The sequence below is a fragment of the Homo sapiens genome, chromosome 22 (assembly GCF_000001405.40).
Source record: "Homo sapiens chromosome 22, GRCh38.p14 Primary Assembly".
Lineage (NCBI taxonomy): Eukaryota > Metazoa > Chordata > Mammalia > Primates > Hominidae > Homo > Homo sapiens.
In genome coordinates, this window is record NC_000022.11 from 20,754,276 (window position 1) to 20,767,026 (window position 12,751).

The 12,751-nt window shown below is 47.0% G+C and overlaps 1 protein-coding gene across 9 annotated transcripts in view; it reads right to left on the reverse strand.

Moving 5' to 3' along the window:
• PI4KA (phosphatidylinositol 4-kinase alpha) overlaps positions 1-12,751 on the reverse strand; it is a 151,121-nt gene that overhangs the window by 46,585 nt on the left and 91,785 nt on the right. For 8 of the 9 annotated variants that reach the window (NM_001362863.2, NM_001362862.2, XM_005261635.2 and 5 more), the window contains 4 exons: positions 11,310-11,418; positions 10,825-10,961; positions 10,542-10,675; positions 7,029-7,111 (listed from right to left, as the gene is read on the reverse strand). In NM_001362863.2, coding sequence (NP_001349792.1) covers positions 7,029-7,111; positions 10,542-10,675; positions 10,825-10,961; positions 11,310-11,418 — 463 coding nt within the window. Of the gene's footprint in view, positions 1-7,028; positions 7,112-10,541; positions 10,676-10,824; positions 10,962-11,309; positions 11,419-12,751 lie in introns of those variants that run through there. The other variant, XM_047441410.1, reaches the window with a different exon arrangement.

Below are 12,751 nucleotides of genomic sequence, written 5' to 3' on the forward strand. Positions count from 1 at the left end.
TGGGAGTCTCACTATGTAGCCCAGGCTGGTCTTGAACTCCTGGGTCAAGCAATCCTTCTGCCTCGGCCTCCTAAAGTGCTAGGATTACAGGCGTGAGCCACTATGCCCAGTCCCTTTCTCTATTCTTTAGAAGCAAGTCACTAAGGACAGCCCACACTCAGAGCCAAGGAATTAAATGCTACCTCCTGAAGGAAATTTGTGAATGAGAATTACAGCCACCACAGCGATTGATATTTTGGGGAAGATACTTTGAAGTTATGCAGAGATCATGTCTTTTAAGATTTTGCCCCTTCACTTTGGCATCCACGAGTGAATTCTGCCTGCAGTAGTTACTGTGGTTGTCATAGGAATTTTCTATTTCCCTCAATTCTTTCTACTTTTTAAAAAATGTTGGCCAGGCATGGTGGCTCACGCCCATAATCCCAGCACTTTGAGAGGCCGAGGTGGGTGGATCACGAGGTCAGGAGTTCGAGACCAGCCTGGCCAACATGGTGAAACCCCATCTTTACTAAAAATACAAAAATTAGCCAGGCATGGTAGCGTGCCACTGTAATCCCAGCTACTTGGGAGGCTGAGGCAGGAGAATCGCTTGACCCCAGGAGACAGAGGTTGCAGTGAGCTGAGATCATGCCACTGCACTCCAGCCTGGGTGACAGAGCGAGACTCCATCTCAAACAAAACAAAAATTTATTTTTTAGGGACAGGGTATCGCTTTGTTGCCTAGGCTGGTCTTGAACTCCTGGGCTCAAGCAATCCTCCTGCCTTGGCCTCCCAAAATGCTAGGATTACAGGCATGAGCCACCGTGCCCAGCCTCTTCTATTTTTATTAATAGTAACTGGAATTCTGTAAGGAAGGTTCAGCCTTTTTCCCCATTTTTTATTTATTCGGTAGTCTAATCATTACAGAACCGTGGATGTTTATTCGTTGGGTTATAATCCAATACCATTTATTCTATTCAAATCATTCCAGCTTTGGCCACTCGGAGCTCTTTCAGGTTGGCTCCTGTGTCATTCGGACAGGCCCCATGTCTTGTCTTTTCTTCTTCTTTCTTGGCGTGTCCTTACTTTCTGGTGTAACAAGGTGCCCCAGGCTCATCCTGTACAGGCCTCCCTAGAATCAACCATTTCTCCATGGAGCCCTGGTTCCTTTTATTGGAGAATACTATTTAGAAACCAAGATCTGAGCACCGGATATGCTCATTGTTACAGAGGTGCCAAGTAGGCTGTAAAAGGCAACAGAATGGGCTGGGCACAGTGGCTCATGCCTGTAATCCCAGCATTTTGGGAGGCTGAGGCGGGTGGATCACTTGAGGTCAGGAGTTTGAGACCAGCCTGGCCAACATGGTGAAACCCCGTCTCTACTAAAAATACAAAAATTAGCTGGGCACGGTGGTGCACACCTGTTAATTCCAGCTACTTGGGAGGCTGGGGCATGAGAATCACTTGAGCCTGGGAGGTAGAGGTTGCAGGGAGCTGAGATTGTGCCACTGCACTCTAGGCTGGGTGACAGAGCGACACACTGTCACATAAAAAAAAAAAAAAGAAAAGAAAAAGAAAAAAAGCAACAGAACACAGTGATCATCACAGTGCAGATGAAGAAACTGTAATAAAATGCCAATTCACACTCCATAATGCTGTTTCTCTATCCAGTGTTTTTAATTTGCATGACTACATGCTGGGTCTGCCCTCTGCCTCCAGGCAGAGAGACAAGGCAGGTGCTATCAGCTTGGCACCTCACACCCAGCATGAAGCCTGAGACATAAAGAGGCCTTTCATAGCTATCTGTTATAAGGGTAAGTGGGACCGCAGCAATTTGAAAAGTTATCAGTGTGACCTGGACAGATGCTCAAGGGTAGTGAGAGGCTGCTTTCTTAAGAGGCTGGGTTGGGTGGGTGAAATCTTATTTTGGGCCATGTGTTTAGTATAATAGCTTTTTTTTTTTTTTTTAATTTTTTGAGACAGAGTTTCGCTCATCGCCCAGGCTGGAGCGCAGTGGTGCGATCTCAGCTCACTGCAACCTCCGACGGGTTGCATTCCCAGATTCAAGCAATTCTCCTGTCTCAGCCTCCCGAGTAGGTGGGATTACAGGCATGCGCCACCATGCAGGGCTAATTTTGTATTTTCAGTAGAGATGGGGTTTCTCCGTGTTGGTCAGGCTGGTCTCAAACTCCTGATCTCAAATGATCCACCCGCCTTGGCCTCCCAAAGTGCTGGGATTACAGGCGTGAGCCACCACACCTGGCCTAGTATAATAGTTTTTTCATATAGTTCTTTGGAAACTGAAACTGTAAATTCCTGATAATCAGATAGACATCAGATGCCAATCAATGTCATGTAGTAGCATCTAAGGAGATTAAAAAAAATTTTTTTTTTGAGACGTAGTCTTGCTCTGTTGCCCAGGCTGGAGCGCAGTGGTGTGATCTTGGCTCACTCCAACCTCTGCCTCCCAGGTTCAAGTGATTCTCCTGCCTCAGCTTCCCAAGTAGCTGGGATTACAGTCACCTGCCATCACACCCAGCTAATTTTTGTATTTTTAGTAGAGATGGGTTTCATCATGTTGGCCAGGCTGGTCTCAAACTCCTGACCTCAAGTGATCTGCCCACCTCGGCTCCCAAAGTGCTGAGATTACAGGTGTGAGCTACCACACCCGGCCCTAAGGTAAGTAAGATTTTTACTTTAAAAAGGCCACTCTCCTCTTAACCCCTTAGTTTAGCTCTGGATTACTGGTGAACTGACTCACAGGATGGTGGGCAGGTGAGCAGCAGGCTCCTGCCCTCACGTTCCTGTGCAGCTGAGAACATAACAGAGGCTCATCTTATACCTGCAGAGAGGAGGCAGAAGTCCCCACTTTAGTGGGGCTGCTAGATATTTCATATACCCTCTCCTCCTGGTAGGTTCTGAAAATTCAAGAATAATATATGTCTCCAAAGACATTTCCTTCTTATCTTTCATGTTTTAGAGGAAAAATATAAGAGGGATATACACTCAATAGCTGTACATTTACTGGCTAAGTGCCACGCTCAGAACAAAAATAATCAGTTTGAAACCATGTGGAAGAGTACAATGTACTGCAAAAATGAAAATCGCTTTATTTTGAATTAAGGTGAGGAGGAACAATCAGTCCCCCGGAACAATTTAACGTCCTCTGATGTCACAGGAACAGAAAAACAGAGCTCAGAGAGAAGGGCGAATGAGACATCTCACTTCAGAAAGGGATCTGATTCGGTTTATGAATATTCTCTAGAAGGCTGGCAAAATCTGCTAGGTTCTCCTTCCTTTTTTTTTTTGAGATGGAGTTTCACTCTGTCTCCCAGGCTGGAGTGTGTGGTGTGATCTCAGCTCACTGCAACCTCTGCCTCCCAGGTTCAAGTGATTCTCCTGCCTTGGCCTCCCAAGTAGCCAGGACTACAGGCACACGCCACCGCACCTGGCTAATTTTTGTATTTTTAGTAGAGATGGGGTTTCATCATGTTGGCCAGGCTGGTCTCGAACTCCTGACATCAAGTGATCCACCCACTTCAGCCTCCCAGAGTGCTGGGATTACAGGCGTGAGCTACCGCACCCAGCCTTTTTCTTCCTTTTTTTGTCTCCTCAGGTCTTGTCTGAATAATGTGCTAGGTGCTTAATTCTTCTAGAGGTTGGCAGTTTCAATTTTGTTGTTGCTTAGTCTCTCTCCTAGAACCAAAGAATCGCAGGGTGGGCCAATTGTCTAGCACAAGCTTTTCCAATCTGCAGTCCACACACAGCCCAGGATGGCTTTCAATGTGGCCCAACACAAATTTGTAAACTTAAACATTATGAGATTCTGGGCCGGGCGCAGTGGCTCATGCCTGTAATCCCTGCACTTTGGGAGGCCGAGGCGGGCGGATCACGAGGTCAGGAGATCGAGACCATTCTGGCTAACACAGTGAAACCCCGTCTCTACTAAAAATACAAAAAATTAGCCAGGCGTGGTGGTGGGCGCCTGTAGTCCCAGCTACTTGGGAGGCTGAGGCAGGAGAATGGCATGAACCTGGGAGGCGGAGCTTGCAGTCAGCTGAGATCGTTCCACTGCACTCCAGCTTGGGCAACAGAGCAAGACTCTGTCTCAAAAAAAAAAAAAAAAAAAAAAAAACATGAGATTCTGTGTCTTAAATGTCTTAAAATATTATAAGATTTTTTGTGTGTGATTTTTCTTTCTTTTCTTTTTTTTTTTTTTTTTTGCTCATTAGCTATCGTTAGTGTTAGTATGTTTTATGTGTGGCCCAAGACAATTCTTTTTCTTCCAATGTGGCTCAAGGAAGCCAAAAAATTGGACACCCCTGGTCTAGCACAAAACTTAGCACAAAATCTGCTACTACATGGACAAATGCAAGGTGGACGGATGAGGGGAACAGATCAATGAACAGTTCAGCCAGAGCTTGACAGCATCTCTCTTATAGCCCCAACTGGTCCTGGGGCATGTGTGTGAGACTCTCTGAATGTGGCCCCCACCCCGCCCTGTGTCTACATCCCCTCTGGAAGAGGCTTCTCTGTAGAAACTGCCTGCCTGCACCTCCCATCCCTGGCCTCAAATGGGCTCCTTGCTCACTCCAATCCCCTCCTTACTGCCAGAAGGGGGAGCTTCCAGAACCCTCACAGTCTTTCCTTGCCAACTCCACTGGCTCCCAGCTGCAAAAATAAATTCATGCACCTGACTTCCTGACTGTTGTACAGCAGTGTGAAGTGCTCCACAAAGGACTTACTAGAAGAGTCTTACCTGAAGCAGTATCTCAGAGCCCCTGGGGCATTTTTTTGTTTGTTTGTTTTTTAAGAGACAGGGTCTTGCTCCGTCACCTAGGCTGGAGTGCAGTGGTGCGATCCTGGCTCACTTCAACCTTGAACTGGGCTCAAGGGATCCCCCTGCCTCAGCCCCCAGACTAGCTAGGACGACAGGCATGTTCCACCATGCCCAGCTAATTATATTTTTTGTACAGATGGGGTATTGCTATGTAGCCCAGGCTGGTCTTAAACTCCTGGCCTCAAGTAATCCACTTGGGTTGGCCTCCCAAAGTATTGGGATTACAGGCGTAAGCCACTGCACCTGGCCTGGGGTGATTTTTAAAAAACATTTCTTGAAGCGTTGATTTTTCTTTTTCTTTTCTTTTCTTTTTTTTTTTTTTTTTTTTTGAGACAGAGTCTCTCTGTCACCCAGGATGGAGTGCTGAGGCACGATCTCGGCTCACCTCAACCTCCGTCTCCCAGGTTCAAGCAATTCTCCTGCCTCAGCCTCCCCAGCAGCTGGGACTACAGGCGTGCACCACCACGCTCGGCTTATTTATTTATTTTTGAGACAGAGTCTCACTCTGTCACCAAGGCTGGAGTACAGTTGCGTGAACTCCACTCACTGCAAGCTCCACCTCCCGGGTTCATGCCATTCTCCTGTCTCAGCCTCCCGAGTAGCTGGGACTACAGGCGCAGGCCACCACGCCCGGCTAATTTTTTGTATTTTTAGTAGAGACAGGGTTTCACCGTGTTAGCCAGGACGGTCTTGATCTCCTGACCTTGTGATCTGCCTGCCTCGGCCTCTCAAAGTGCTGGGATTACAAGTGTGAGTCACCGCACCCAGCCAATTTTTTTATTTTTAGTAGAGACGGGGTTTCACCATGTTGGCCAGGCTGGTCTCAAACTCCTGACCTCAGGTGATCTACCTGCCTCAGCTTCCCAAAGTGCTGGGATTACAGCTGTGAGCCACTGTGCCCAGCCTGATTTTTCAACAAAAGAAAAAATGGTACAAGAAGTATCGGAAATAATTTCTCCATAAGCAAGAACAAGTTGATAGATTCACCAACCTATCAAAGGCTTCTGGTGCGGAAAGGACTACACACTGTTAGTTGTACTTCATTAATACTAAATTTGTCAATCTCAAGAATTTATCAATAAGCATGCCTCAAAGAATTTATTCATACAGTTAATCAAAATTTGTGGATTCTCCCCAATTCCCTTGCATATTTAAACATGATTTCATCATAATTACAAAAATTATCAAATTATTCTAAGCATTTAATTAAAACTTAGGTCTAACATTTCAGCATATTTTAAATTTTTGATTTTAAACACCTTATAAATCAGACTTCTTAGTGCCCTTACACTAAAACTGGCCAAAAAGTGCTTATACGCAGCATTTAACTTTTTCCTTTGTTGTCTCTATTTTAATATCTTTTTATTGGCTAAATACACTTTTGTAAAACTAATATTAGCCTTTTGCAATTTAAAAAAATTAAGGTATAATTTGCATATAATAAAATCCACAGGTCTTATGTGCTCAATTCCATGACTTAACAACTGTACACACTCACGGGACCACTACCCAAACAATCTAGAGGACACTTCCATCAATCCAGAGGGTCTCCTGGTAACCTTCCCAGTTTCCATCTCTCCTTTTTATTCTTATCTTAGCTTTGTCTTCATAGGGTTTTGATCATTGTAACATTTTTATGCCTTCCTACAGTTTCCACCATTTCTCTGTCTTCCCAGGAGTTGGTCTCCTGGGCTAGGGCTGGTAACAGCTGAGGCCCTCTGTGCACTCAGGGTCTGACGACAAGTTGCATCTGGAAGCAAGTGGCATGATCATAGCTCACTGCAATCTTGAACTCCTGGGCTCAAGCGATCCTCCCACTCAGCCTCCCAAGTAACTTGGGACTACAGGCACAAACTACTGTTTCCTGCTCCTGACGTTTAAAAACCATGACTGCTCTCTGGCAACAGCAAGTTGCTGCAGGTCCATCAGTGCCCATCCGAGGAGCCCTGGTCCCTCTAGATGAGTGCTGGAGCACACTTGAGCATAGATAGTGGGCTAGAATGACCATCCTTCTGTTCGGGGCCCTTGCACCAGCAGTAGAACCATTAAGGCGTATATTTGAAGGCTATATGTTTTATACTGATCTTTCTCATGCAATATTTAACTTCATAAAACATTTTCTACATGTAGACAGAAAAGAGGAAGTAGTACGCCTTTTTACCCTATTAAAGCTCAATTCATCATGAAAGCACCATAATAATGAGCTTACCAGATTTGTCTTTCTGAATAGCTTTATCCTCAAAGTAGCAGAACATTACCTGGAAGCGATCAGGATCTGTTGAACGCAGTACCCTAAGAAGAAAACAGCTTTAAATAAATTTTGAAAAATCTGGGCCCTCCCTATCACAGATTTGACACTGCCCATAAGTGGTAAGGATGTGAAGAACATTTGCCCTCTGTCATTCATAAGGGTGCACACTGAGGTGGACTTTTTGGAGGGTGAGGTGCACCATCTATTATACATTCCCATATTTTTCACTCCAGCAGCCCCACCATTAGGATATATCTTCAGGGTTACATGCACAAGGATTCTCCTAACAGCACTGACTGCATTATCCAAAATGGAAAGACTCTGAATGCTCACCAACAGGAGACTGGGCAGATAAGCCAAAGCATACCCATTCGATGACACATCATGCAGCCACCAAACGAGAGGCAGCTCTCTATGTGAGCTGTTACAAAAAAAGTCTGAGACATACTATTAACAGAAAAAAGGAAGGTGCAGGGAACACATGTCCAGCATGACCCCACTTACAGGTTTCCTAAAGGTCTGTCTTTGCATGTGTATGTGTAGGCTATGCATGCTTGCCTATGCACAGAAAATTTCTAGAGGAAAATTAAGAGGCCATTAACAGTAGGATAGTAGAAATGAAGTATTCACGTCTACAAAAGTGATACCTGTATTTTTTCATCTTTAGTATCTTCTGTACTATTCCAGTGTTTTCTCTTCTCTTTTTTGTTTTATGCACTCTGTACATTTTTCTTTTATGGTAAAAAAAATATCTTTAACCTCAGGGGGAAAGGGAGAAAAAGGAAAAAGCGCATGCACTTGTCCCATGGGTGCTGTGAAGGGCTGTTCAGAGTTCCAGGGGCTCCACTAAGGCAGCAGCGGCTCGGCAGGCCATGTCTTTTGGCCTCTGCACCAACCTGTCAAGAGTTAAGCCTCAGGAGGGCAGGCCAGGTGACTTTCAGCACACGCATTCGAGTGTGCACGTGCACACACCTTTAACTTGATTTCCCAAATTCTCCACTTTGTGGTTTTAAAGCTCTCTCAATACCCAGTGGCTGGGAACCTGAGCCAGGTTCCTGAATAAAGGCTTTGAGGTTGCCTCTCTATGCTAACAGAGTGCTCTCAAGGGCCTGGTAGGCAGCCCGAGGTGGAAGGTGGGCTCACAGGAGCTGCTATGGGCTGCGTCTTAGAGTCTTCCTCTGCCAGTTAAGAGCCCGTCCTGAGAACCTGAGAAAACTACTCAGGGGCATACTCATGGGAAAGGCAGAGGTAGCTCTGCCTTCAAACCACATGAGGTTGAGAGGGTCTGGAGATACCTCTTCTAGCCGTACATGCTGGGATGAAAGCCATGTTTTTGCTCTGTTTGGGTCTGGCTTGTTTTGTTTTGGCTGTTTTTTCTTTGAAAATACATTGTTTAGAAAAAAGACTACAAACAGCTATACTAACAGGCTATAGGGGATGACAGTGAGGTCAGTGTTTTTTCTCTCTCTACTTATTTTGCAAGATTTTGTATAAATGTTTTGTTTTTATAAGACAGGGTCTTTTGCCCAGGCTAGAGTGCAGTGGTTTGATCATAGCTCACTGCAGCCTCAACCTCCTAGGCTTAAGCAACCCCCTTGCCTCAGTCTCCTGAGTAGCTGGGACTACAGGCATGTGCCACCACAACTGGCTAGGTTTTTTTGCTTTTTTTTTTGGGGGGGGGGGGGGTTAGAGACAAGTTCTTGCTCTGTTGCAGAAGCTCAAAACTTCCGGGCTCAAGTGATCCTCCCACCCCTCAAAATGCTGGGATTAGCCATTTGTTTTTTTGAGACAGAGTCTCACTCTGTCGCCCAGGCTGCAGTGCAGTGGCACCATCTTGGCTCACTGCAACCTCCACCTCCTGGGTCAAGCAATTCTCCTGCCTCAGCCTCCTCAGTAGCTGGGACTACAGGCATGCACCACCACATCCAGCTAATTTTTATATTTTTAGTAGAGACGGGGTTTCACCATGTTGGTCAGACTGGTCTCGAACTCCTGACCTCAGGATCTGCCTGCCTCGGCCTCCCAAAGTGTTGGGATGACAGGAGTGAGCCACTGCAACCGGCCGTGCCTAGCCATTTTTGTGCAATGTTCTTTTTTTCTTTTTTTTTTTTTGAGACGGAGTCTCGCTCTGTCGCCCAGGCTGGAGTGCAGTGGCGCGATCTCAGCTCACTACAAGCTCCACCTCCTGGGTTCATGCCATTCTCCTGCCTCAGCCTCCTGAGTAGCTGGGACTATAGGCACCCGCCACCACATCTGGCTAATTTTTGTATTTTTAGTAGAGATGGGGTTTCACCACGTTGGCCAGGCTGGTCTCGAACTACTGGCCTCAGGTGATCCACTCGCCTTGGCCTCCTAAAGTGCTGGGGTTACAGGTGTGAGCCACCACATCCAGCCAAAATAAAAGACACTTACAATGAAAAAAGAACAAAGTCAACACTCCCTTGGCTCTGTGGGACTTGGGGAGAATGCGTCACTGATTTCCACATTTGGCTGTGTGTGGAGCCCCGGGCTGAGGGCAGGGAGGAGGAGACTGAGCAGGAGGGTAGGGTGCATTCCCATGCAACCAAAGCACTCTGCCTTTCTTTTATGTATTGAGCTTTCAAGGACTATTTTACTAGAGGGTTGGTGGCAACAATGAAAGGCTAAAATAGTGTTTTCCAAATAGCCTTTCTCTCAGGAACACTTTCTTTTTCAAATCATTTGGGAAAGAAATTATTCTACGACTTATTTGCATCCCTCCCGACTTAAGCTGAGTGTAATTTGACCTTTTCTTGACAACAGGAATCATCATTTTGTAGCCAATGTACTCAGCTGCTGTCCCAGGGCGCCTGAGGCCTCAGCACAGTGGGTCTGTATAGCACTGCCTACCTCACAAGCATGTCGGGGAGTGCGTAAACATGTGTAATGCAGCACAGTACCTGGTACAGCACAGACACTCAATCCAAGCTTACTTCTGAGGTCAACATGATAACAGCTGTAGATCCTAAGTGTCACTACCACTGTTAGGACTGCTGTGGCCACAGATGTGTCCTGAGCATCGGGCCACATGCAGGACTGTTTTGGAGCCGGCCCCACCCCATGTCGCATTTGCTGTTTGTACTCAACCATGGTCCTGGGAAACAGCTCAGTGAGTGTCCTAGACACGCACTCAGCGAGGCTGGGTCCTCAGAAGGGCCTCGCTCAGTCCGTGGGCTGAGTTCACAACACTGACTGCAACTGCTCAGAAGCCTGTTTCCTATCAGAGAGAAGATGATGCGGAGCTTAGATACTGGGAGGTGTTACTATACGTGGTGTCTGGTGGTCATGAAGGAGGGGCATACGAGAAAAGTAGAGGGTGTTTTTGCTTGGTTTTTCAGAAAGTTTGCATGTCTTGGGAGAAGTTGAAAAAAGTCTCATGCTTACGAGGGCACAAAAATGAAAACCCTGCTCAAATGTGGATGTGCATGTGCATGGTGGTGAAGGCACGTGTACCTCATGTACTCCAGCCGGTACACAGAGAGGAGGTAGGTGGACATGGCGAAGTCCAGCTTGTTGATGAGTGCGGACACCTCGGGAGGGGGGTCCAGCAGGTTGATGATAGTGCTGCGGAGCTCACTCAGCTCAGCCTGGAGGGAGAGAAACATCCGAGGGCTCATGGGGCATCCCCCAGGACAAACAGGTCCCAGTGGCTGGCAACATGTGTTAATAATGACAGTGAAAAGATCTGCCCTAATTGGCACAGAGAGCATGGTAAAAATGAGATGTGAATCCTTACGGGGGTGACCGTGTCATTCTTCATGGCTGAGTTATACTGGAGGACGGACCGCAGTGGCTCCTTGCTGGGAAAGGTGAGCAAGGGGGACTTAGTGGCTATTTCACAGACCCCCTCGTACCATTCTTCTGGCCAGAGTCCTGCAATAAAGTGAACATAAATGAGGAAATCACCTTGGTCGGAAAGCACTGCAGTGAGGTTGACTGACAATTTCTATAGTCATGGGTCCTTTGAGACAATTATCCCAAAAACTAGGCACAGAAACGAAGTCTGTTACCTGACTTGGACAGACTTTTCCTAAGGTGTATGGCATTCTCAGCACCCTAAACTACATCTGGGGACAGTAACACTTGCTAATACTTGCAGAAAGAAGCAGCTGCATGTGGACTCATTTAAACATGCTCACATTCATAATTACGTGGGCTCTGACCTCACCTTTACCTTCACTCTGCACTCCGTCTTCACTGGGAGAGAGATGATCCCCCTACCTGAGCCCTCCACAGCGAATCCCATCAGAACGGAATACAGCCAGAAGTCTCGGAAGAGCTTCTGTAACCGAGGCTTAGCTTCTTTGATGGGTGGCAGTCGTCGGGTGAGCTGATGTGCCAAGAAGAGAGGGAGAAAGGAGGTTATTTGCTGAGGAAACCCTAAGCCCTGTAGGTGTAAAATCAACCACAGATTCATTCTCTAAGAGCATTCTCAGAAACTCAGACTGGGTAGGAAAAGGCACACTGAGCAGTGATGATTCTGCCAATAAGCATTGTCCATCCACTCATTTACTGAGTCCCTAGTGTGCACCAGGTGCTGTGCCAGGGAGGAAAAAGCCCTGTTCCTGCACTTGAAGGACTTCCTGTCTAGTTTGGAGGCAGGTGAGCAACAGTTACAGTGGGGTGGAGTTCCCAGAGAAAGTGTCATGGGTCTCAGAGTTAACATTTGAGGAAAACTTAGCCAGGAAAGAAGAGAAGGCAGCCTGTCCAGCCACAAGAGCATTAGGTCCTAAGCCTGGCACTGTGGAGGGTAACAAATGCTCAGGAAAGGCAAACAATGGATGCGAGCCAGAGCTTGAGGAAGGGATGCCACTGGGGAGGCAGGGAGAGCACAAGAACTCTCATGGGCCAGGCAGCACAAATTTTCCAAACAGTAATCTTCGGCAGAATCCCCATATATGTAACAGGTAAAGCAGAGTTGCTTGGGTGCAGGTGAGGGGCTATTGTCCTTGTGTTCCTGCTCCAAATGCTGGGGGGAGGCAGGGAGAGACTCATCAGTGGTATAAATGGCTAAACTTGGCCAAGCACGGTGGCTCACGCCTGTAATCCCAACACTTTGGGAGGCCGAGGTGGGCAGATCACCTGAGGTCAGGAGTTCAAGACCAGCCTGGCCAACATGGTGAAACCCCATCTCTACTAAAAATACAAAAAATTAGCTGGGCGTGGTGGCAGGCACCTGTAATCCCAGCTACTCGGGAGATTGAGGCAGGAGAACTGCTTGAACCCAGGAGACAGAGGTTGCAGTGAGCCAAGATCGCACCATTGCACTCCAGCCTGGGCAACAAGGGCGAAACTCCATCTCAAAAAACCAAAAGGTTTAACTTGTGCACGATGCCCAGCTGGACAGGCTGATCCTTACGGACCCCCCAGTGGATGTTGAGCTCCCATCAGTGATGTTGAGCCTGTGGTAAGCGGGGGCTTTGCTACCCCCAAACACTTATGAGCACCTGGTATGGGCCAGGCACTGGGCCGGGAGAGAGGTGGGAGAGATGAAGACACCATCTCTTGAGGCAAGGAGGGCACAATGGGATGGGCTGTGACACATCATGCACAGCAGGCAGGACTGTAAACTGTCACAACACTTCTTTGAAAGCAATTTGGTAATATGCATCAGAAATTCTAAATATCCCCACATATTTCACCCAAAATCCCATCCCTGAGAA